We start from the raw sequence: 25,333 nt of genomic DNA on the forward strand, positions 1-25,333 counted from the left end.
ACTGTGCCTGGCCGGATTTGATCTTTTAAACATCACTGGAGGCCAGGCCCAGTGGCTCACACCTATAATTCCAGCACTTTGGGAAGCCAAGGCAGGCAGATCACCTGAGGTCAGGAATTTGAGACCAGCCTGGCCAACACGGTGCAACCCCATCTCTGCTAAAAATATAAAAATTAGCCTGGGATGGTTGTGGGCGCCTGTAATCCCAGCTACTCGGGAGGCTGAGGCAGGAGAATCACTTGAACCCCGGAGGCGGAGGTTGCAGTAAACCAAGATTGTGCCATTGCACTCCAGCCTGGGTGACAGAGCGAGACTCTGTCTCAAAATAATAATAATAATTACTAATAATAAACATCACTGAGGCCGGGTGCGATGGCTCACTCTTGTAATCCCAGCACTTTGGGAGGCTGAGGTGGGTGGATCACGAGGTCAGGAGATAGAGACCATCCTGGCTAATATGGTGAAACCCCGTCTCTACTAAAAATACAAAAAAAAATTAGCCGGGCGTGGTGGCGGGCGCCTGTGGTCCCAGCTACTCAGGAGGCTGAGGCAGGAGAATGGTGTGAACCCGGGAGGCGGAGCTTGCAGTGAGCCGAGATCGCGCCACTGCACTCCAGCCTGGGTGACAGAGCAAGACTCTGTCTCAATAATAATAATAAATAATAATAAACATCACTGGAAATTGGGATGGGCTGGAATCGAGCCCCCGGGAGCCACAGTGGAGCCCAGGGCGGAGCCGGCTCTGGGGTTGGGGGCAGGTGGAATGTGGGGCCCAGCATGGGCGTGGTTTTCCATCCTTGGGCCAATGACAGATTCGTTGCCGCTTCTGGTGGGCGGGGCTCTCTTTTTTGTTTTTTTTTTTTTCCTCACATGGTCTTGGATATGGTGGCCCTTTCTCCTCTGAAATCATGAGACTTCATATTGTGCTTTCAACTTAAATCCGACAAAATCTGTTTCTTTCCCCTCCGCAGTGGTGTGGAGGCAAAACTAAACCAAGAGTTTCGGCGTCTTCCCAGCCAGCAAGACGATTTGCGTCTGGATGATATTCCTGCCGGGGAGCTCACGTGCAGGAGGTCCATGAGGGTGGTGAGTAGGTGAATCTTCAGAAGTTAGTGGGTAAGTTTCATTTCTGATGAGAAGTATTGCTTAGAGCTTTAAATGAACAAAAAGCAATTTTCTTCAACAAACACTGGAGCCAATACAATTGTTGATAAAAACGGTTTTTGGGGTTTGTTTTTTTTTTTTTTGGACACAGGGCCTTCCTCTGTTGCCCAGGCTGGAGTGCAGTGGCAAGATCTTGGCTCACTACAGCCTGAAATTCCTGGGCTCAAATGATCCTCCTGCCTCAGCCTCCTGAGTAACTGGGACTACAGGTGCACGCCACCACATCTGGCTAATTTTTGTATTTTTTGTAGAGATGGGGTCTTGCTGTGTTGCCCAGGCTCTGCATGGCTTAAAACAATGTTTTTATAGAGATAGACTCACTATGTTGCCCAGGCTGGTCTTGAACGCTTTGGCTCCATCCATCCTCCTGCCTCAGCCTCCCAAGGTGCTGGGATTACAGGCGTGACCACCGCGCCCGGCCTAGAAGCCCCGTGTATCACCAGCTGTTGGTCTTGCATTGGTGTGGATCAGCTGCCTTGCTGCGCTCGTGCCCTGACACTGTCTGCAGGTGACCTTGGATGGTCTATGAAGACCACTGCATTGTCAGCAGACACTGCAACCCCGTCCCTTTCTTTCCGACCCTGACACTTTTTATTCATTTCTCTTTGTTTTTTGTTTCATTTTGGTGTTTTTGTTTTTGTTTGAGACAGAGTCTCACTCTTCTCACCCAGGCTGGAATACAGTGGCACAATCTTGGCTCACCGTAACCTCCGCTCCTCCGGGTTCAAGTGATTCTCCTGTTTCAGCCTCCCAAGTAGCTGGGATTACAGGCATGTGCCACCAAGCCCGGCTAATTTTCATATTTTTAGTAGAGGCGGGGTTTTACCATGTTGGCCAGGCTGGTCTCAAACCCTTGACCTCAGGTGATCTGCCTGCCTCGGCCTCCCGAGTAGCTGGGATGACAGGCGTGAGGCACTGCACCTGGCCTGTTTCTCTTCATGTATGTGCTGCGCGGGGCTGCATGCACTGAGCTGGGCAGGGGGAGGGGTGGCTGTCCCTACCCATCCCTCACTCACAGAAGGGGCTTCCCGCGGTCCACTGTTAAGTAGAATGTTTGCCTTGAGCTTGGGTGAGATCTGCCAAATTTGCTAAGAGTTTTATTGCAGTTGGTGGTTGAATTGATCAACCCAGAGAATCAAATACTTATCGATTAGATTATCACATGGTTGTTTATCTCTGCTCCGTTAACTGGCAAATTAGACGGTTAGATTTCCCGAGCGTTAAACCCACCTGCTTTAGACCTGTTTAGGTTTTGTTGTAATTCTGAGCACATTTTCAGAGTCAGCTTGTTAATGATTTTGGATGTTTGAGTCAATGTTCGTGAGTTAATTCGGCCTGAAGTTTTCCTGCTCTCTATTAGTCCAGGCTTGCTCTGCAGGCGACGCTCATCGAATCTAATCAGTCAGGACATTCGTCTCTTTTTTCTAGTCTCTGGAAGAGTTTGTTTGAAATGGGGATTATTTGTTCCTTGAAGATTTAGTATAATTGTCACATAAAACCATGCAAGATAGATATATACACAACTACGTACCCACAACAATTAAAAAATTAAAAAAATTGAAGTAATTGGCTGGGTGCAGTGGCTCACGCCTGTAATCCCAACACTTTGGAAGGCCGAGTGGGGGACGATTGCTTGAGCTGAGAAGTATGAGACCAGCCTGGGCAACATAGTGAGACCAGGTCTCTACCAAAAATATAAGTATTAGCTGGGCATGGCGGTGTGGCCCAGAGCTTCACGAGATGAGGCTCAGGGCACATGTGGTAGACATGGGGAGCAGACAGATCCCAGGCCTTCCCGGCAGAGCAGTGGGAAGAATACAGTGGCAGACCCCCTCAGCCTGTCCCTGTGGGGCACGGCTCTGCCCAGGGGCTGTCCAGAGGCTGTCAGACCCAGGAGAGGGTGGGTCACAGCGTTGAGATGACCCAGGGACAGGTACAGGACGCATCCGTGGGCCTGCATCCTCTATGAGCGGGGGGGGGGGGGGGGGCGACGTCAGTGAGATTCCTGTCCCTCATCAGGGTGGCCCCTTTGTCCCTGTGGCAGGGCCTGAGAACAGCTATCGTGTAGCAGGTGACATGGGTGATGGGCCTGGGGACGGCCATCGTGTAGCAGGTGACGTGGGTGAGGGTGCTGGGGATGGCCGTCGTGTAGCAGGTGGCGTGGTTGAAGGCCTGGGGATGGCCATCGTGTAGCAGGTGATGTGGGTGAAGGGCCTGGGGATGGCCGTCGGGTGGCAGGTGACGTGGGTAAGGGTGCTGGGGACAGCCATTGGGTAGCAGGTGATGTGGGTAAAGGGCCTGGGGACGGCCATCATGTAGCAGGTGATGTGGGTGAGGGTGCTGGGGACAGCCATCAGGTAGCAGGTGACATGGGTGAAGGGCCTGGGGACGGCCGTCGGGTAGCAGGTGACGTGGGTGAGGGTGCTGGGGACAGCCATCAGGTAGCAGGTGACATGGGTGAAGGGCCTGGGGATGGCCGTCGGGTAGCAGGTGACGTGGGTGAAGGGCCTGCAGACCCACTCCTGGCCCTGGCCCATGTCTCTGGGCCTCTGCATGGTTGGCACCCTGCCAGCTGGTCTCTGGGCGTCTGCATGGTTGGCACCCTGCCAGCTGGTCTCTGGGCGTCTGCATGGTTGGCACCCTGCCAGCTGGTCTCTGGGCCTCTGCATGGTTGGCACCCTGCCAGCTGGTCCTGGGCCTCTGCATGGTTGGCACCCTGCCAGCTGGTCTCTGGGCCTCTGCATGGTTGGCACACTGCCAGCTGCCGCAGCACCCACCCCAGCACCTGCCCAGCTCTGCCTCCAACTGCAGTGCTGCAAAAGGGACCTGCGCGTAGTGGGCTCTGTGCCGTTGTCCAGGCTGCATCCTGCTTTAGGCACGGGGCCCTCACCACAGTTCTGATCTGTCCCTGATCTCCCCCCGCACCCCACTGTCTGAATACAGAGGCCCCCTCCTCTCTACTGGGGAGCCCAGACATCTAGCCCTTGCCCTGTGTGGTTCTCTCCGGGTGAGGTGGGAGGGACCTGCCGGGAGAGACAACATCCCTGCTGCTTCACTCACGGTGTGAAGCCGGAAGGGACCAGACTCAGACCCCCTCCCGGGCCAGCCTCTCCGTGAAGCCCCTTTCTCCAGCAGGAGAGTGTAGCTGCCCCTCTGGGTGCTCAGGGGCCTTCTCAGCCTCACCTGACCCTCACCTTGGGGGTGGGGGGTGCAAGAGAAAGGAGAATGAAGACTTCCCCATCTCAGGTTGAGGATGCCTGGTGCCCCGTCACAGCCCAGCAGCCTCCCTGACCCAGCCCTAGTCCCAGACCTTCTGCGAGGCGGGCACAGGGCGGCCATATGGGAAGTCTCAGTGCTAAATGCTCCAATGCCCCAGGGCAAACAGTGGCCCAGCAACTAGGGATGTAAACCGTGCTTGGGTTTCCTCAGAAGCCTCCTGTGCCACACCCTGGAGATGCCCTGGGCACTGGGCATGGCTGGGCAGGGCTGCAGGTGGGCACTGGGCAGGGCTGGGCAGAGCTGGGCAGGTTAGATGGGTGGGTGGGTGGACGGACAGATGGACAGATGGACGAGTGGATAGATTCGTGGGTGGGTGGATGGATGGGTAGATCAATAGATAGGTGGATGGATGGATGGATGGTTGGATGGATGGATGGATGGATGGATTGATTAATTAGTGGATAGGTGGGTGGATGGATGGATGGATGAATTGATGGCTGGATGAGTGGATGGATTTAGTACGGGTAGATGGGTAGACAGATGGTAGATGGTTGAAATTTGGTAATGAGGCTGACCTGTTCTTTTAGTGGAGGGCTGGGCTGGGAGCTGGGCCCCCAAGAGTAGAGTCATCACTGAGAATATTTCCCCTGATCTTACCACCCCATTCATCATTTCCCTCCACCACCAAAGAATGTCTGGTCTGGAGCAGCCATTTCTACAGTGCAACTGTCCAGAGCAGATGCACCCACGTCAGGAAGCCCCCGGTCACTGCCCGCCAGCCGCACCCACACTCAGGAACACACTGGCCACTTTCTGGTTTGCCTTGCTAACAGTTTAACGAGACGATACTGCAAACTGGCTCCAGGACTTCCATCCCTAACCTCACCCCCATTCAAAGCACCTTCCATGCCTCCTCCTCCCAGTGTGAGGGAGGAAGGTGATAGGTCTGAAAAGGTGGAGGGGAGTGAGGACCATGTGCGATGGAGGAGCAGAGAAGGTGGGTGCTGGAAGGCGCAGGGAGCGGAGGGGCCAGGACGAGGAAGGAACTGGATTCTTGGGGAGCTGGGAGGAGCCTGGGGCTTAGAGGTGCATTTGCTGCAGGATCCAGGGCACATAGGTCTGGACTCACGTGTAGACGCCAATGCTGGGCCGATCACTGTAAAATCCCCAGCTCACTACTCCCGCCTGGAGCCAGGTACCCTTCTTCTTGCAGACCAGGGGGCTGCCTGAGTCACCCTGTGGAGCAGAGAAGGCCCAGCTTGACCAGAGACCCAGGACCCTGCACATCCAAGTCCAGCATCGGAGCCGCAGACAGGAAAAGAGATGGCAGGAGAGAGGCGCCAGGTCTCACCTTCCAGGTGCGGCGGCCCGTGCGGCCGGCACAGATCATGTCATCCTGGATGAACTTTCTGTCTCCAGCACCAGGAAAAGCATCGTAGGTCTGCCGCTCACAGTCTGCATTGCTCAGTGTGAGGACCTTCACCTGCTGCGGGCGGTAAGGAGGCGGCAGCATATCTGCAGAGACAAGCCACGGGTGGCGGGAGCAGCTCAGGAGGGGCCCCCAACCAGCACCATGGCAGGACCCCTCCCTGCCCCCAGCCTCAGCTCAGGACCTGGGATGCTCAGCCTACACAGCCTAAGGTGGAGTCAAAGGGGCTCCACCTCTAAAGCTGCAGGAACCCAGAAGGGAAATGCCAGGGTAGGGTACAGTGGCATAATCATAGCTCCCTGCAGCCTCCGCCTCCCAGGCTCCAGCGATGCTCAAGCAATCCTCCAGCCTCAGCCTTCCAAGTAGCTGGGACCACAGGCCTACACCACCATGCCCAGCTAATTTTAATTTTTTTAAGATGGAGTCTCACCCTGTCGCCCAGACTGGAGTACAATGGCACAATCTCTGCTTAGTGCAACCTCTGCCTCCTGGGCTCAAGCAGTTCTCCTGCCTCAGCCTCCTGAGTAGCTGAGATTACAAGCACCCACCACCACGCCCAGCTAATTTTTGTGTTTTTAGTAGAGTCAGGGTTTCACCATGTTGGCCAGGCTGGTCTTGAACTCCTGATCTCAAATGATCCACTGGCCTCAGCCTCCCAAAGTGCTGGGATTACAGGTGCGAGCCACCATGCCTGGCCAATATATATATTTTTTAATTTTTTGTGGAGATGGGGTCTCCCTGTGTTGGCCAGGCTGGTCTTGAACTCCTAGGCTCAAGTGATCCTCCTACCTTGGCCTCCCAAAGTGCTGAGATTACAGGTGTGAGTCACCGCACACACTCCCCCACCACCCTACCACCCCCATCCACCAATACCTTTTAAATTGGGAGCAAAGGGAGATGGGACCCTACACACACACTCTAGAAAAGAGAGGCGGGACCTATGCACACACTCTAGAAAAGGGAGGCAGGACCTACGCACACACTCTAGAAAAGGGAGGCGGGACCTACACACACACTCTAGAAAAGGAAGACAGGACCCTACACACACACACACTCTAGAAAAGGGAGGCAGGACCTATGCACACACTCTAGAAAAGGGAGGCAGGACCTACGCACACACTGTAGAAAAGGGAGACGGGACCCCCACACACTCTAGAAAAGGGAGGCGGGATGTACACACACACTCTAGAAAAGGGAGACGGGACCACACACACACACACACACACACGCTCTAGAAAAGGGAGACGGGACCACACACACACACACACGCTCTAGAAAAGGGAGACGGGACCACACACACACACACACACTCTAGAAAAGGGAGGCAGGACCTACGCACACACTCTAGAAAAGGGAGGCAGGACCTACGCACACACTCTAGAAAAGGGAGGCGGGATGTACACACACACTCTAGAAAAGGGAGACGGGACCACACACACACACACACACACACTCTAGAAAAGGGAGATGGGACCACACACACACACTCTCTTTCTCCCTAGAAAAGGGAGGCAGGACCTACGCACACACTCTAGAAAAGGGAGGCGGGATCTACGCGCTCTAGAACAGCACCAGGTATTGCCTTTCAAAGAACAGAGGCCCGAAGCAGGAAAGGAAGAAAGCTTCAGGGTCTCTGCAGCCTTCAGTGGAGGGATGGACAGATGGATAAATTCGTGCCCTCTTTGAACCCATTTTCTTTTCCACAAAATGAAGAAAATGTCTTGCAATATGTCTATGGGTAAGATACGTGTTCCACACACACACGCACAGCACAGTCAGTGGCTCCTGCCACCCACCCCAAAGGCTCATTTTCTTTGCTCCCTGTTTTATGAGCTTGAATTCCCCAGGGCAGCTCACCTGAACCCTGCACCCCAACCCTAGCAAGAGAAACCCCAGAATGTGCAAACCAAGGGCTTGTCTTTCATGAGCCTTCCCAGGACCCCCCCGCACGCCCGCCCCACGTCCCTCTGGTTCTCACCCAACAGGCCGACCATGCCCCAGCCTGTGTTCCAGCAGTTGTCACTGTCAGTGAACTCCAGGGACTATGACGGCAGGGCGACTGCCGCGAGAGTGTTTGTTGTTCTCACACTGGTGGCCAGCTTCAGCAGGGCGATGTCTGCCCCCAGGAAGAAGACAGAGTAGTTGGGTGGACGACGATCTGGCTGACATTCAGCAGCCCCCGGCCCCCGTACAGATACACATCCCTGGTGTGAATCCGGTAGGTGGACGGGTCGGTGTCCTTCCTGGGGGAGGACAGACCCAGGCTACTCAAGGGACCTGGTATGGGGCGGCCCCACTCCCACCTCCCCTTGGTGGGGTCCCCGGCCCAGGACTCACCGGAAAATGCAGTGAGCGGCGGTCAGCACCCACTGGGGGTGGATGAGGGAGCCCCCGCAGATGGGCACCCAGGAGGCCCAGTGGTAGCTATAGATCCTCAGGCTGACCTGCCACGACCACTTCCCCTGGGGGTGTTGTGGCCCCCCACAATGCCCACCAGGTCATTCTCGGGGACGGGAGCTGGGAACAACAGAAGGAGGTCAGGGAGCCCGGCCTCTGCCACCCGAGCCTCACCCCACGCCTGCCCTCGGGCAGGAGCCGGGCCGTGCACGTGTCCCCTGGATCCTGGGGACGGGGTGGCAGAGCCCCTGGGAAGGGAGGGCTGTGTGGGGTCGGGACTCACCTGGACTCCCAGTGCTACAGCTCCCCAGGGAGGAGACAGCCAGGAACAGCAGCAGCAGCAGCTGCGGGGAGAGGGCGTGGAGTGCGGGCTGGGGGCTCAGACCCGGGGTCAGGGGTGGAGGGCGTGGGGTGCGGGCTGGGGGCTCAGACCCGGGGTCAGGGGTGGTGGGCATGGGGTGCGGGCTGGGGGCTCAGACCCGGGGTCAGGGGTGGAGGGCGTGGGGTGGGGGCTGGGGGCTCAGACCCGGGGTCAGGGGTGGGGGCCAGGAGCCGCCCGCAGGCATCAGGGAGGGGACGGTGCCCTTACGGTGCCGGGACTCAGCTGCTCTCTCCCCCGGCCCCTTGGAGCCCCTTTATCCTCAGCCACAGGAGGAGGGCAGCGGGAGGGTGGGGCCCTGTGGTGGCCTCAGGTCTCTTCACCCTCTCCTCCACTCTCTCTCCCACCCACCCTCCAAGTCTCCACCCACCCCGCAGCCTGGGCTGGCAGGACAGGGGTAAGAGGAGAGGGTGAGGGCAGAGAGCGGCCGGGGCGGGGTTGGGACCCTCCAGCCTGCCTGTTCCTCCACGAGGACGTCACAGCATCACAGGGCTGGTTTGGACGGCAGGGCCCTTGGAAAAATCTCAGATCTGGAGCTCAGGAAGGAGCCCGAGGCAGCGGCAAGCCTCTGCCTCCCACCATGGGGTCCCCAGGACAGTTTCCAGCAGTTCATGAGCTGCAGCACCCCATGAAGGTGACGGGTAGCCCCGTGCGGAGGTGCGGCTCGCTCCCGGGACAGGGGCCACAGGCCCAGCAGATTGTCCGAGCGAGGTACCCACCATGGTGGTGCCCACCACAACTGGCCAAGCCCACTCTGGCCAGATGTCCTCCGGCTGGCTCAGCCTGGGGTCTGCACGTGGAGACACCTCCGTGTTGGGTGTGGTTGGGGTGAGGTCCTCCGTCCTCAGAGCGGCCTTCGGGACACAATTGAGTCAGGGTCTGGCTCTGTCGCCCAGGCTGGAGTGTAGTGGCATGATCACAGCTCACTGCAGCCTCCACTTCCTGGGCTCAAGCGATCCTCCCACTCAGCTCTCCCAACTAGCTGGGACCATAGGAGCACTATGCCCCAGAGACAGGAGAGAGACCCGTGCAGTGCTGACCAGAGGGGCCTAGGGGCAGAAATGCCGTCCTGGACATGCCATGGCTGCACCCTGGGTCTTGGGCAAGAGCTTCGGAGGTGTGGTGGCTCCGAAGCCGTGATTCTCCAAGGGAGCAGGGGGCTTCGGGGACAGAGCCAGGACCGGCAACCACAGAGGCCGCCGGAAAGGCAGTGAGGGAAGGGACGGAGAGGAGAGATGTAGGGAGGAGGGAGGGAGGACCCAGGAGGAGACTGGGACTTGGCTGTCCCGTGCTGGAGGATTCAGCGTGCCCACGTCCTGCAGCCTGGGCCGTCTGTCCCCAGCCTCGGTGAGAGCTGCTCCTCCTCTGGGGCCCCTCCACCAAGAGGTCACAGGCACCCTGAGAAAGGCCTGGAGCTCCAGGCCCATCCCCCCACCGGCGGGTGCTGGGACCCCAGCCGGAGCTAATGAAAGGGGGCTCAGGGGCTCACATCCTGCCCAGAGTGTAGGGAGCCTGACCCTCGTGCTCCCTGAGGCTGCATGGTCCCTACTCCTCCCTCCCTCTCTGGCCTGGGCCCCCACCTGCCCCCAAACTCTTCCTAAATCCTTTTCTCCAGTCTTAAGCCTTAAGCCCCTCCCCCATCTCTGTGTGCCCCCCACCCCCACCGCACACCTCGGGCTTCCCAAGTTGGAGGCACATGTAGTTGGGGTGGGGCAGTTGGCACTAAAAGCCAGAAGTTCCTCTGCCGGAGGTGAGGTCAGTGATCCCCCGGCCCCTCGCCTGTCAGGAGGATGGACAGACGATCCCATCTGATACTCACAGCCACCGCAGGGCGGCGGGGCCTGAGAGCATCAGGCCACCCAGGGGGACCCTCCCGCTGAGGCCCAGGGGCGGAGGCAGCCACTCTCCGCACCCCCTGCCTCGTCCATCTCAGAATGAAGCCGTCCTGCCCCAGCCTGGAGGCTGGCGGGGGAGCTGACGAGGCAGCCAACTACCCAGAGCTGGAGAGAGGGCGCCACGGTGTTTTCCCAGGCGTTTCTTCACTGAACTTTCTCAGCCGTTTCTCCTCATGCCCCTGATAACAGAAACCTGATCTGATGTGCAGTCTGGGGACATCCAGGTCCACCCGGGGTCAAGGGCCCTGTAGCCCCATGCAGGCCCCCCTGGGGTCCCAGGAAGCCTGGGCTGTGAGAAGAATCCGGAATCCTGGTGGGGCCAAGAGGGGATGCAGAGAGACCCCCGAGGAAGCTGTCCTCAGGCCCCTATTGTGGAGGAGACCCTGGGGGAGGGGGTGGTCAGTGGATTCCGGGGGGAAGTGGATCCCTTGCTTCCGAGGGGCCCAGGGAGCAGGAGGGGCTCAGCAGGGTGAAGGCCGGGCCTCCCTGCGGCTCCAGGAAGCCCATGCAGTGGGGTGCTCCCGTCTCCCCCAAAAGTGGGGGACAGAGAATGTTGTTCCCAGATAAGTGGGAGTGGCCACAGCTCACCAGGCAGGGGCTTTGGGACCACGGGGCCTCGTGGTGCGCAGGCTGTGGCTGTGGCTGTGACAGGACCACTGTGTCCCGTTCAGGGTCTTAGGGGCAGCTGCGGGGACCCACGCCCACAGTGGCTCCTCTGCCTGGAGAGGAAGGGTGAGGGAGCAGCTGCTCAGGGGCAGAGCTGGGGTCCGCCAAATTCCAGGGCAGCCAGCTCCACGGAGACCCCACAGTTCAGGGAGGCTATGTCCTCAGCTGACCCCGAGACTCCAGGAGGTCCGAGGAGGAGGCACGGCCGAGGGAGCAGGCTCAGGCTGCTGGCCCCGCAGTGCGGCTCCGGGTCTGAACTGGGGTGCAGCGCGGCTGGGTTTGATGTCACAGATTTGGGGGAATGAGGGAAATGAGCAAACAACTGTCCAAACCAGGGATGGGTGTTGGGGAGAGGACAGCTAGCTCATCCGTGGGCTCTGGGAACCCGGGCGGGGAGGCTGAGCTGCCCAGGGGCTGCCTCCGGGAAGCGGAGCCCTCCCCACTGGCCCCCAACCAAGCGTGAAGGTGCAGTCACTCGAGGCTGGCCCTGAGCCCTCCAGAACCTTGAGATGTGTACCAGGAAGTCCCCACCACGGCCCAGGACACATCAGAGAATCAGAGACTCAGAGGCTGCTGTTCACACAGTTTAATAGCATGGCGGACCCAGGCAGGAGGCAAGGTCCCTGGGTGCATCCTCCCTCGCCCACATCCACGGGACACCAGCTTCTGAGTCTCCCCTGCCGCTGTGTCCTCACCCCCAGGTCAGGGAAGGACGGGGTACTTCAGGGGCCAGGCGGGGTGGGCAGGAACAGGGCCTGGAGGCGGGAGGAGGAGCAGAGGGGAGGCCCGCTCCCCAGCAATCAAAGCCTCCTCAACGCTCTAGCGGGACGTGCTGGCGGACCCAGGATGAATAGGTCATTACCCAGGTGTAGACACCAGGGTAGTCCCCATGCCTGGAGGCCACGCCCCAGCTCAGCACGCCAACCTGGAGCCAGGTGTCCAGCCGGTAACAGACCGGGGGGTCCCAGCATCACCCTGTATGGGGAGGACAGTCAGGGGACAGCCCCATGGCAAAGCAGCTCCCACAGCCGACGCCGAGGGCAGAGGGCCGGGGTCTCACCTGGCAGGAACCCTGCCCCTTCCTCCCTGCACACGGCGTGGCAGCCTTGATGATGGTGACCTGGCCGTGGGCAGTGGGGCCTTTGTGATACATCCTCTCGCAAGCTCGGGTCCTCATGATGGGGACCTCGGCCTCTTGCAGGTCGGGGGCCGGGGGCAGCGGCGCTGTGGGGAGGGACTGGGTGAGCATGGCTGGTCCTGGTGGGCTCAGGCCGTCCGTCCATCTGCCAGGGAGCCTGGGCTGGCAGCCCCTTTTGGGCTCATGGTCCCGCTCAGCAGAAACAACACACTCAAGCTCCAACGGAAGCCAGAAGGGAATCACAGGGCTGCAGTGCTATAGAACGTGACGTTCCCAAAATTAAAGACGGGAGCTCCAACAAATAGGAGAAAAAGCCATCTAGAAAAGAAGCAACAGCCACACTGAAGCCGTGGGTCACACTGAGAGCTGTGCCTTCTGTCCCAACCTGCGATGGGTGTTGGGGAGAGGACAGCTAGCTCATCCTTGGGCTATGGGAACCCCGGGGGGTCGGAGGCTGAGCTGCTCAGGGTTCTGGCTTTTGGAAGATCTCGCTACTTTATTACCAGTCAAGAAAAAAAGTTGCAACATTCTGGGCCTGGAGACAGCTGGCGAGGCACCTGCAGCTGGGAAGGCCTCCTGGAAGGGAGCCTCAAACCCAGACCTTTTTTTTTTTTTTTTTTTTTTGCAGCAGGGTCTCGCTCTTGCCCAGGCTGGAGTGCAGTGGCATGATCATAGCTCTCTGCAGCCTTGACCTCCTGGGCTCAAGCGATCCTCCCACCTCAGCCTCCCCAGTCACTAGGAATACAGGTGCTCCCCACCATGCCCTGCTAATTTTTTTTTTTTCTTAGAGACAGGGTCTTGCTATGTTGCTCAGTCTGGCCTGGAACTCCTGCGCTCAAGTGATCCTCCTGTCTGGACCTCCCAAAGTGCTGGGATTATGAGCATGAACCAGCGCACCTGGCTGCCAGACCTCTTTAAAAGAATAAGCCAGAACTGGCTCTGGCGGGGTCTTGTGATTCTGGGGAGCAGCGAGGTGCAGTGGCCTGTCTTTGACAACCGCCGTAAAGAGGATTTTTGGGAAGAGAAACCACATCGTGAAATTCTCATCATCGTACGTAAGTCCCAGAGGAAAACACTCAGAGCCCCGGCTCTTCATAGGGACTGAGGGGCCGAGTCCAGCATACGATTCCCCTGCGGTTACCAAGGTCGGAACTACGAGTGGCCAATGACACAGGTCAGGTCAGCAACAGCAGGTCCGGGAGCCAGGGCTGAGGGGGGAGCCTCTCTGAGAAGCACGGCGTGGCTCCGTGACCCTGGGCACGCCCTTCCCCCGCCCTCCAGCCTCAGTTTCCCCACCTCAACGCCAGGCATGTGGACAAAGGGAGTTCTCAGAACAAGCACGGACTCTACAGTTGAACAGCCTGAGAGCACAGGGCCAGGAAGTGAAACAGGAGCCCACTGTCCCCCAAGGATCTTCCATCGGAAAAGTACAGACACAGATGTGCCTGGGCAGCGAGGCCAGACAGCCATGGGCTGAAGGCACGGCCCTGGGTACAAATCTTTGGCCAGCCCCTGGGAGTCCTGCCATCCAAATGTATCACTTGCTTTGACAACTGCAAACCGAGGCCAGGCGCAGTGGCTTATGCCTGTAATCCCAGCACTTTGAGAGGTCGAAGCAGGTGGATCACCTGAGGTCAGGAGTTCGAGACCAGCCTGGCCAACATGGCGAAACCCTGTCTCTACTAAAAATACAAAAAATTAGCCGGGTGTGGTGGTGCACACCTGTGGTCCCAGCTACTTGGGAGGCTGAGGCAGGAGAATCACTTGAACCTGGGGGACGGAGGTTGCAGTGAGCTGAGATCGCACCACTGCATTCCAGCCTGGGCAACAGAGTGAGACTCCGTCTCAAAAGAAAAAAAAAAGGACTGTCACCATGACCGGAGGGAGTTCCCTGTTCCTGGGAGAGGCCTCCGATCACTGAACCTGGGAGGTGAGGGACCAGGGTGGAGGACGCCAGTGGGCGCCAGTGTCCTGGCCACGACCTGTGAGTGCCTTCCCTCGCTGCTGGGCCCCACCCACGCTGGGGTTCACGGGACCACACCCAAACCAGTGACGGCCTGAACAGAGAGACTCCACCCCTGCCAAGACCCCTCAGGGGGACTCCCCACACTCCAATAACCACACACACTCAGGATGGTCCTGCCGCAGGCCCTGCCTCGGGAGGACAGGGCCCTGGTGACTGTCCTTTGGAAGACCCTGGGGCCCAATGTACAGAGAGGGTTCCCCGGGAGGCTGGGCTGTGTGGGCGCATATGATCAGCAGGCCCCTCAAACACCCGATGTGCAGGGAGAGTGCCCGGGAGGCTGGGCTGTGTGTGGGCCCATGTGATCAGGAGACCTCTCAAGGGGTTCATGTTGTGGTTTTGCAGTTGTGAAAGAATTGGGGAAATGAGGACTTTTTTATTTTTATTTTATTTTATTTTTTTGAGACGGGGTTTTGCTCTTGTTGCCCAGGCTGGAGTGCAATAGCATGATCTCGGCTCACTGCAACCTCCACCTCCTGGGTTCAAGCAATTCTCCTGCCTCAGCCTCCTGAGTAGCTGGGATTACAGGCACGGGCCACCACGCCTGTATAATTTTGTATTTTTGGTACAGACGGGGTTTCTGCATGTTGGCCAGGCTGGTCTCGAACTCCCGACCTCAGGTGATCTGCCCGCCTCAGCCTCCCTAAGTGCTGGGATGACAGGTGTGAGCCACTGTGCCCGGCCTCTTTTTTATTTTTTCATATTTATCTGGGTTTTTTAAACAGCATTATTGAGATTGAGTTCACAAAAACCTACAATTCACCCATTTAAAGGGTTCAACAGCTTGCGGCTGTCACCATTCCCAATTTTACAACATTTTTATCGCCCTGAAAAGCCCACACCCTTCTGGTGGCTGTCGCTTCCCATCCCTGTCACCCCCTCCCCCGGGCCCCACAAATCTTCCGTCCGCCTCTGCGGATCTCCCTGTTCTCTCGACCTGTGGCCGTGGTGCCCGGCTCCTCTCATGGAGTGGGCGGGAGAATTTCGGGCTCTTTCCCTGTGTGGTGCCCTCCCCCGCCCCAGGAAGCCGGCTCAGCCCCAGGACTTCCTGTCACCAAAGACCTCCTGGAGACACCTCGCCTGGCCTGTGAGGAGGCCTGGGTCACCCGTGCCCAAAGGGGCTCCGGTGGCTGCAACAGCCCACAACCGGGCTATTTACACACAGCAGGGATTCATTCCTGATGACCCCAGAGAATGGAGGTCCAAGGTCAGGGAGCCAGCGTGGCTGGGGTCTGGGGAGGACCCATCTCCTGGTTCATAAACGGTGCCTTATCTCTGGGTCCTCCAGTACTAGGAGGGATGAGTGAACTCTCTGGGGGTCCCTTCTCTAAGGGCATGAGTGCCCTGTTCGCCTCCCGAAGCACCCACCTCCTGATCCCATCACACTGGGAGTTAGGGCTTCAACATCTGGATTTGGGGGGAGCACAAATCTTCGGACCACAGCAGGGGTCTGAGCTGAGGGGCATGGCCTGCAGGAGTGGGGAAGGGGCTTTCTTTCTCCCATGCCCAGGGTGTAGGGGGGTGTCTGTGCACCCCTCCGTGACCCACCTCTTCCCACTGAATCTGGAGGGAGTGGGGTGTGGAGCTGGGGAGGAAATGACCTGAGAGGCCCCCGGGAGCTGACTCTGGGCAGAAGCTCCAGCTGTCTCCAAGATTTCTCCGCATCATGGGAGGGAGATCAGCTGTTGAGCCTTCAGATTTTGAATGGCCGCGTGGCTCCCAAAGTGACATTTTGGCACTGATGGGAGGGGACTGAAGCATGGGGGCAGGTCCTGCCAAGCAGAGCTCTGCCTGAGATTCTTGGGGCCTGCACAGGAGGGCAGCCCCAGGATGCCCGCAGGGAATGCCAGCTCTGTGGGGCTGACCTCCAACAGGCCGTGCACAGATGGTGATGGGGGAGGGAGTGGCTCTCCGGCCCTGACGTGGCCCCCCGCCTGCCTTTCTGGACACCCCTGCTCTGCCGGCTCAGCAGCCCCAGCACCCGCTTCTGAGCTCTGGGTTCAAACAGAGATTAATCAGAGCGTCGCTCAACTGCACCCCAGCCCCAGGACCCGGCCACCATGTTGCATCACCGCAGAGCCAAGGAGCCACAACCAACCCCACCCAGCATGAGGCCAATGCAGCCCAAGATAGGGGGACAGGACCCCACGGCCCGACTCAGGACAGACAGCAGACTCTTTCCACTAAAGCTATTTGTCCCAGAGGTTCCCAGGGGACAAGGGGCCGGTGTGGAGCCTGGAGTCAGGTAGAGACCAGCCAGGTTACAGATGGGGGCCCTGAGCTGCCCACCCCTCCCCATTGTGCTGTCCCCATCCCAGGGCCCTCTCCACCACCCCCAGGAACCTCTCCACTATTGCAGGACCCTCTCCACCACTCCAGGGCCCTCTCCACCACTCCAGGGCCCTCTCCACTATTCCAGGGCCCTCTCCACCACTCCAGGGCCCTCTCCACTATTCCAGGGCCCTCTCCACCACCCCAGGGCCCTCTCCACCACTCCAGGGCCCTCTCCACCACCCCAGGGCCCTCTCCACCACCCCAGGGCCCTCTCCACTATTCCAGGGCCCTCTCCACCACCCCAGGGCCCTCTCCACCACCCCAGGGCCCTCTCCACCACCCCAGGGCCCTCTCCACTATTCCAGGGCCCTCTCCACCACCCCAGGGCCCTCTCCACTATTCCAGGGCCCTCTCCACCACCCCAGGGCCCTCTCCACCACCCCAGGGCCCTCTCCACTATTCCAGGGCCCTCTCCACCACTCCAGGGCCCTCTCCACTATTCCAGGGCCCTCTCCACCACTCCAGGGCCCTCTCCACTATTCCAGGGCCCTCTCCACCACCCCAGGGCCCTCTCCACTATTCCAGGACCCTCTCCACCACCCCAGGGCCCTCTCCACTATTCCAGGACCCTCTACTTCCACCAGCACCCCCAAGAATCTCAGGCTCCGGGCACTCAGAGGCACCTCCCTGTGCCCCAGGCCAGGTGTCCAGGGTGACCAGCAGGACGTGTCACAGCCAGAAAATCCGGAGGCACCCAGGGGACCCCTGCTTCCCAGGCCCACGCAGCCCCTGTAGGAAGCATGTCTGGGGTTGGGACTCTGGGGTCACATTTGCAGAACGCAAACCAGAGAATCTTGACTTACGACTTTTGAAATCCAAAAGAGAGGAGTTTGTGCCAGAAAAGGAGGAGGAAGTCTAGAGTTGACTGGAAACACTGTCCGGGAGTCGAGGGGCCCAGAGCAGCGGGAGAAAGAACCGGGCCCCATGGGCACCGGGACCCCCACACTGTGCCACCTGCTCTCAGGGCCACATCTTGTGGGACCAGGAGGACCCTGGTGGTGGGTCAGGACCCGGGGGTTCTAGGAGGAGGTGGCTCTGGAAAGCAGAGGGAGGGAGAAGTCCGCCAGCCTGGGACTGACACTCCAATGTCAATGGCGCTGACAGACCTGGGCCGTGGAGGGGGGGACGGAAGGAAGCCGTCCCCTCCCAGCCCTGGGGCCCATCCCTCTTCTCCTGCCTGGCCTGAGAGTGCCAGGACACTCTGTGACCCCCAGCTGCTCCCACAGTCCAGACACACACCACAGACCCGGAGCGGTTTCCACACTGTTTAATGGAGTCAAGTCACAAGCAGCCGTCTAGGATTTCTGGGATTCTGTTTCCACTCCCGACTCATCTTTGAGGGCCCCTACCCGGCTCCCCGAGCCCCCTGCTGGCAGGGAAACACAGAGCCTTGAGAGACCGAGAGGAGCAGAAGGGTCTCGGGGCAGGGATCTGCGGGAGGGTGAGGCTGAGACGGGGGAGCAGCAGGGGTGTCCACAAGGAAGACGGGCCCTCCTGGATCATGCAGACCCCACTGCACCCCAGCTAGCGTCTGGGGAACGGCGGGACGTACTGGCGGATCCAGGACACGTAGCTCGTCACGCGGGTGTACATGCCGGGATAGCCGCGAAGGCCGCAGAGTTTGCCCCAGCTCACCACCTCCACCTGGACCCAGGTGCAATTCCGCCTGCACAGGAGGGGGCCCCCGTTGTCGCCCTGTGGGGAGAGATGGCGCTCAGCGAGGGCTCCCCATGTGCCTCCCCATGTGTCCCCCCTAGGAGGGGAGAGACAGGTGGGTCTGGGGTCTCACTGGCCAGGAGCCGTGGTTCCCGTCCCCGGCACACAGCATGTCGTCCTTGATGAGCCGCTCAAACCGCTCAGTGTGGTTGGAAGGAAAGCGGCGGCGACAGGTCTGGTTACAGAGGACGTTGCTCCTGACCTTCACCGTCGCCTCCCACAAGCTGAGGGGCCAGGGCAGTAGTTCTGCAAGGAGATGCGAGGTGAGGCGCAGGGGCCTGGCGGGGACAAGGCTGCAGCTTCTCGTTTTGTCCAGAGCTGAGGCATACAATTCGCTCAGAGCTGGGCCTTCCCTGGCCAGGGGGTGAGCCCCAAGGCTGCAGTCCTGGGCACAGGAGCCTGGAACCTCAGGACTCACTCTTAGAAATGACTAGGGGCCGGGCGCGGTGGCGCACACCTGAAACCCCAGCACTTTGGGAGGCCGAGGCGGGTGGATCACTTGAGCCCAGGAGTTCCAGACCAGCCTGGCCAACATGGTGAAACCCCATCTCTACTAAAATACAAAAATTAGCCGAGCATGGTGGCTGACGCCTATAATCCCAGCTACTCAGGAGACTGAGGTAGGAGAATCACTTGAACCCAGGAGGCGGAGGTTGCAGTGAGCCAAGATCACACCACTGCACTCCAGCCTGGATGACAGAGAGAGACTCTGTCTCAAATAAAATAAAATAAAATAAAATTAGCCAGGCGTGGTGGCACACACTGGTAGTCCCAGCTATTAAACGCTTGGAGGACTGAGGTGGGAGGATCGCTTGAGCCCAGGAGTTTGAGACCGGCCTGGGCAACACAGCGAAACCTCATCCCTACAAAAAGAAAAAAAAGCCCGGCGTGGTGGCTCGCGCCTGTGGTTCCAGCCACTCGGGAGGCTGAGGTGGGAGGATCACTTGATCCTGGGGGTTCGAGGCTGTAGTGAGCTGTGATTGCACTATTGCACTCCAGCCTGGGTGACAGAGCAAGACCCTGCCTCAAAAACAAGTTTTTAAATAAAAAATTTTTTAAAAAAGAAACTATTTGGGAAAAGCATGGGACCAGGACTCCCCCTGGACTGTGTTGTGGTGGGAATGAGACGGTTCGCTCCAGGTGCTGATGCTGCGGGGCCCAGGAGTTCCCGACCTCCCTTAGTTCACGGTTTCTCTGATGCAAAGGAACAGCAGGCAACTGAGGGTGACGCTGAGGATGGAGTTAACTCACAAAGTGCCTGTTGGGAGGTGGGCAGGGGCACCCCTACGCCATAACCCCAGAACTTGTCACTGTGACCTTATCTGGAAAAGGACCTTTGCAGATGGAATTAAGATGAGGTCAGTTAGATTAGAGACACCATAAATACCATAAATACAGCACCCAGTGTCCGTAGAGGAGGAAGGAGAGGGGAACCTGGAGAAACACGACCGCAAGCCCAGGGGCATGGGGAAGGCATGGAACGGACCCTCCCTCAGGGCCTCTGAAAGGAACCAACCCTGCCCACGCCTGGAGTGTGGACGTTCCGCCTGCAGAGCCGTGAGATAGTACATTCCTGCTGCTCTGAGCCACCTGGCCTGTGGCCATCCGTCTCGGCAGCGGCAGGAAGCCATCCAGGACGCGTCTGGAGCCCAGGCCTGCACCGACATTCCGGGTCATCTCTCCACATCCCACCCAAGTGGTCCTGCTCCTGACCTCCACGTCCAATGACACCCCAGCCGGTCACCCAGCAGGTCTTCCCCGAGGGCACGTCCCGGGAGGCAGACGGGAGCGAGACCGGGTGGATGAGCTCAGACAGCGGCACCGGGGCCTCCAGCTTCAGCAGGGCGATGTCCGCACCGCCCTGGGCAGACAGGCTCTCGTTGTACTGGGGGTGACGGACGATCTCAACCACCTTCGTCCGCTGGTCGTCCTCATAGAGCCTCAGCTGCCCCACCTGCACTCTAAACGCGCAAGCCTCCAACTCCTCCCTGGAGAGAGGAACGGGCACCTCTCAAAGTAAGGCCAGATGCTCAGGACCGGGGCTTTCCCTGAATCCTGGGAGGGGCCCCCGGCACACAGGACACCTGCCCGTCCCCACCCCCACTCCCACCCGCCGAGGGGACAGCAGGCTCCACTCATGGCCCAAGGCAGTGGGCGGCGGTCAGCACCCACTCTGGGTGGATGAGGGAGCCCCCACAGATGGGCTCCCACAGACCCTTCTTCATGCTGTAGAACCTCAGGCTGACCTGCCAGGGGTGCCTCCTGGCCGAGACGTCGCAGCCCCCAGTGATGCCCACCAGCTCACGCCCCGTGCCGGGCTCATGAGGGGGACGGACGAGGGTCTTCCCAGAGCTCAGGGGCACCAGGAGAGACCGGCAATCAGATGGTCCCCACCCACCCCAGGGCTGGCACTCTGAGCCCGGGGCAGGGCAAGGAGGGGGTCCTGGGCAGCAGGGGCATTGGGTGGGGCGGACTCGCCTGGGTTCCTGGGCACAGAGCCCATCAGGCAGGGGAGGGTCAGGAGCAGTAGCCACAGCATATGTGGGGAGAAAGCCGGGGCCTGGGGTGAGGCGATCTGAGCCCCAGCTGGGGTCTGGGAATGGAGAGGGGGGTTCGGAGTGGGCGGCATACTCGTGCCCCAGGTCTCTCTGCCTCCTCCCTGGCATCTCTGGGAGCCCATTTATCTCTCATACAGAGGAAGTGGGTGGGCGGGGCAGCCCCCTCCTGGGCACATTCAGAGTGCTGACAGCAGGTGGGGCCAGGCGCTGAGTTCCACTGGGCGGGACTGGGTCTGGGGCTCAGAAGTGCAGTGTGTGAACCAGGGCCACCTGACCTGCAGGGGCGGGGGGAGGTCTGAGAAATGGTCAACACCACGAAGAGAAGCAGCAGCGACATCCCAGCTGGGAGTGGGGGGGAGGGGGGAGGGAGGGAGGGAGGGAGGGAGGGAGGGACACACGTGTTAAAGGACAGCCGTTCCGTTCTCCGGCCAGGTCTCCTCCCTCACCCTCACCTGGGACACCCACCGTCCTTGGGAATGAAGGGTTCACTTCTCGGTGCCTGGAGCCTGTTCTCCTCTTTGGCCCAAAACGTCCACCCCCCCGAAATAACCCCAAGTGCCCTTACCCCCGTGACGGCCTCGGCTGCAAGAACCAGCTCCAGGAGAGTGCAAGTCACCAGCCAGGGGGCAACAGACACAAGCCCAGGATGCAAGGAGCGGCCCCGGTCCCCGACCTCTCTCTGGACCTTCCGCTGCCCTGAGGTGCTGGGGTCGGGGCAAGAAAACATGACCCATTCTGGACTCGTCAGCAGCTCCAAGGAATGAGGACTTGACATCCCCTTTAGTCTGTTTCCAAGACCCCAAAGTGCCATGGTGTTTTGTGCTCACCCAAGGGAGAGGGTCATGAGGACCCAGGAGCCCTTCCCCACTGACCCCCCAGCACCAGTGTCCCCAGAACATCAGGATGCTGCTGGAGGTGACTGTCCCGGTGCCGGTTCCCCTGTGGAGACCCCCCTGGCTGCTCTCAGCCTCACCCAATGCCCTTCTTGGCCCTGCTGGACACAGAGCTGCAGACAGAGATGAAGGAGACAGCGGTAGCCGCAGGCATTACCCAATGCAACCCCCAGCCCCCGCCCCTGCCCACGTTGCATCACAGCCGACCCGAGGAGCCGCAGCTCCCAGAGGAAGACACGGTGGGGCCGATGCAGATGCAGCTGGAGATACAGCCTGGTCTCCCTCCTCTGGGTCAGGTCTCCGGCGCCCTCCCGCCGGCCTGCAGGGCTGCATTAGGATGGGGAGTTTGAGCTCAGTTAGAGACCAGCCCCAGAAACGCAGAGAGAGGGTGCAGCGCCGTCCACAGCCCTCTCCCCGCTCTCTCTCCTCCCCTGCCCGCACAGCCAGCAGCCTGGTCCAGCTCTCTGCGTCCCATCGCCAGGGTAGTATCCTCCAGGTCTGCGAGCGACAGCAAATGCACGCGGATCTGCAGCAATCTCAATTCTTGCCTCCTCAGAAGAAAAATTCAGCTGAGGGGCAGAAGGCAGAAGGAGAGACTGAGGCAAGTTTTAGAGCAGGAGTGAACGATTATTAAAAAGCTTTAGAGGCCGGGTGTGGTGGTTCATGCCTGTAATCCCAGCACTGTGAGAGGCCAAGGCGGGAAGACCACTTGAGGCCAGGAGTTCAAGACCAGCCTGGCCAATGTGGTAAAATCCTGTCTCTACTAAAAATACAAAAATTAGACGGGCGTGGTGGCGCATGCCTGTAATCCCAGCTACTCGGGAGGCTGAGGCAGGAGAATTGCTTGAACCCGGGAGGCGGAGGTTGCGGTGAGCCGAGATTGCGCCACTGCACTCCAGCCTGGGTAACGGAGTGAGAACCTATCTAAAAATAATAATAATAAATAAAAATAAGCAGCTTTAGAGCAGGAACAAAATGAAGGCAAGTACACTTGGAAAACGCCCAAGCAGGCAACTCGAAAGAGAAGTCTGCAGTTTGACCTTTGACTTGGGGCTGTTTGTTTTTTGAGACAGAGTCTTGTTCTGTCACCCAGGCTGGAGTGCAATGGCGGGATCTCAGCTCAGTGAAACCTCCACCTGCCGGATTCAAACGATTCAGGCATGCGCCACCACACCCAGCTATTTTTTGTATTTATAGCAGAGACAGGGTTTCACCATGTTGGCCAGACTGGTGTCAAACTCCTGACCTCGTGATCCGCCCACCTCGGCCTCCCAAAGTGCTGGGATTCCAGGCATGAGCCCTCGCGCCCAGCCTGACTTGGGTTCTTATAGGTTGGCATGCTTCCAGGGCCTCGCATCCCTTCTCCCGAGATTCCTCCCGTGAGTGGGCTGTCTGCGTGTGCCATGGCCTGCTGGCGCTCGGGAGGGGAGCGTGTGTGGTGCGTTTGCCGCAGTCGTGCGTGTGCTCACTTGAGGCGCTCTTCATGACCAGCCGCAGGTCCCTTGAAGGCCATAGACCAGTTAAACTCTGCCATTTTGCCTCTTAGTGTGCCTGCTCCAGCCCCCTCGCCCAGCTCCTGAGATCTTACCGGGAAGCTGCTGATCACCGGTTTCAGGTGTTTGCTGTCTATTGGGAGCCTGCCTTTCCCTGGTGCCAGCTGCAACAAGTATTATGTTACACAGGCAGTTAACAACCGCCTGACCATCGCCCGAAGGACGACTGATGCTCCCGGTGTGTGGGAGGGGAGCCCTCTCCTGCCCTGCCCGTGCCTGACCAGCTGCTGCTGTCATGGGCCCAGCAATCGTAAGTGACCAGCAGGACACGCTCCTGTGACGAACAGCCCCACCCGGTGAGTTTGTTTCCCACCCGAAATCTCCTTCCTCCTGAAACCTGGGTGGGCGCCGCTCAGCCCACTCGGTCTGGCTCTTGGTCCCTCTCGGTCCTTCTCTCTTGCTTCCTCCTTCACCGTGGGATACCCTGGCTCCCCCTTGGCCTTCCGCCACCACGGGAAGCTCCCGAGGCCTCCCCAGAAGCCAAGCAGATACTGATGCCGTGCCGTACAGCCTGCAGAACTACAAGCCTCTTTTCCCTCTCCTTTCCTCTTTTTTTTTTTTTTTTTTTTCAGATGGAGTCTCGCTCTGTCACCCATGCCGGAGTGCAGTGGCACGATCTCAGCTCGCTGCAACCTCTGCCTACTGGGTTCAAGTGATTCTCCTGCCTCAGCCTCCCAAGTAGTTGGGATTACAGCGCACGCCACCACACCTGGCTAATTTTGTATTTTTAGTAGAAACGAGGGTTTCACCATGTTGGTCAGGCTGGTCTCAAACTCCTGACCTCAAGTGATCTACCTGACTCGGCCTCCCAAAGTGCTGGGATTACAGGGGTGAGCCACCGCACCCAGCCTGACTTTCCTTTCTCCTCTCCTTTCCTCTCCCCTCTCCTTTCCTCTCCCCTCTCCTTTCCTCTCCCCTCTCCCCTCTACCGTCTCCTCTCTCCCCTCTCCTTTCCTCTCCCCTCTCCTCTCTCCACTCTCCTTTCCTCTCCCCTCTCCTTTCCTCTCCCCTCTCCTTTCCTCTCCCCTCTCCCCTCCCCTCTCCCCTCTCCTTTCCTCTCCCTTCTCCCCTCCTCCCTCTCCCCTCTCCCCCTCCCCCTCCCCCTCTCCCCTCTCTCCTCTCCCCTCTCCCCTCCCCCTCTCCCCTCTCCTTTCCTCTCCCCCCCCCCACTTCCCCCTCCCTCTCTCCTTTTCCCAGGCTATTGCTCTGTCGCCCAGTGGCCTGATCTCAGCTCACTCAACCTCCACCTCCCAGGCTCAAGCCATCCTGTCCTCAGCCTCCAGAATAGCTGGGACTACAGGCACATGCTATCACGCCCGGCTAATTTTCTTATTTTTAGCAAAGACAGGGTTTCACTGTGTCACCAAGGCTGGTCTTGAACTCCTCAGCTCAAGCAATTCTCCCACCTCAGCCTCCCAAAGTACTGGGATTACAGGTGTGAGTCACTGCCTGCACGGTGGGCTGGGTGTGGTGGCTCATGCCTGTAATCACAGCACTTCGGGAGGCTAAAGCGGGAGGATCACTTGAGGTCAGGAGTTCGAGACCAGCCTGGGTTACACAGTGAGACTCCATCTTTTTTTTTTTTTGAGACGGAGTCTCACTGTGCCCAGGCTGGAGTGCAATGGTGCCATCTCAGCTCACTGCAACCTCTGCCTCCCGGGTTCAATCAATTCTCCTGCCTCAGCCTCCCAAGTAGCTGGGACTACAAGCACCCGCCCCCATGCCCAGCTCATTTGTTTGTATATTTAGTAGAGACAGGGTTTTGCCATGTTGGTCAGGCTGGAGACCCTATCTCTTAAAAAAAAAAATTAAAAATTAGCCAGGCACGGTGGCACACACCCGTGGTCTTAGCTATTTGGGAGGCTAAGGTGGGAGAATGGCTTTGTTACAGGAAAGGGGTGCCAATCCAGACCCCAAGAGAGGGTTCTTGGATCTCTCACAAGAAAGAATTCAGGGCAAGTTCACAGAG

General features: G+C 59.0%; 2 pseudogenes, besides 2 other annotated features; both read right to left on the reverse strand.

Moving 5' to 3' along the window:
* TPSP1 (tryptase pseudogene 1) lies at positions 5,551 to 8,222 on the reverse strand (annotated as a pseudogene).
* Positions 17,657 to 18,251: an enhancer, noted in NCBI's record as "H3K4me1 hESC enhancer chr16:1335831-1336425 (GRCh37/hg19 assembly coordinates)". NCBI's record gives its function as "activates a minimal SCP1, AML or CMV promoter by ChIP-STARR-seq in naive H9 embryonic stem cells {active_cell/tissue: H9 hESC(naive)}" and the evidence as "EXISTENCE:reporter gene assay evidence [ECO:0000049][PMID:30033119]".
* TPSP2 (tryptase pseudogene 2) lies at positions 18,170 to 20,900 on the reverse strand (annotated as a pseudogene).
* Positions 21,066 to 21,195: an enhancer, noted in NCBI's record as "active region_10217". NCBI's record gives its function as "activates an Ori minimal core promoter by ATAC-STARR-seq in GM12878 lymphoblastoid cells {active_cell/tissue: GM12878}" and the evidence as "EXISTENCE:reporter gene assay evidence [ECO:0000049][PMID:35858748]".

This window comes from Homo sapiens, chromosome 16, assembly GCF_000001405.40.
Source record: "Homo sapiens chromosome 16, GRCh38.p14 Primary Assembly".
NCBI lineage: Eukaryota > Metazoa > Chordata > Mammalia > Primates > Hominidae > Homo > Homo sapiens.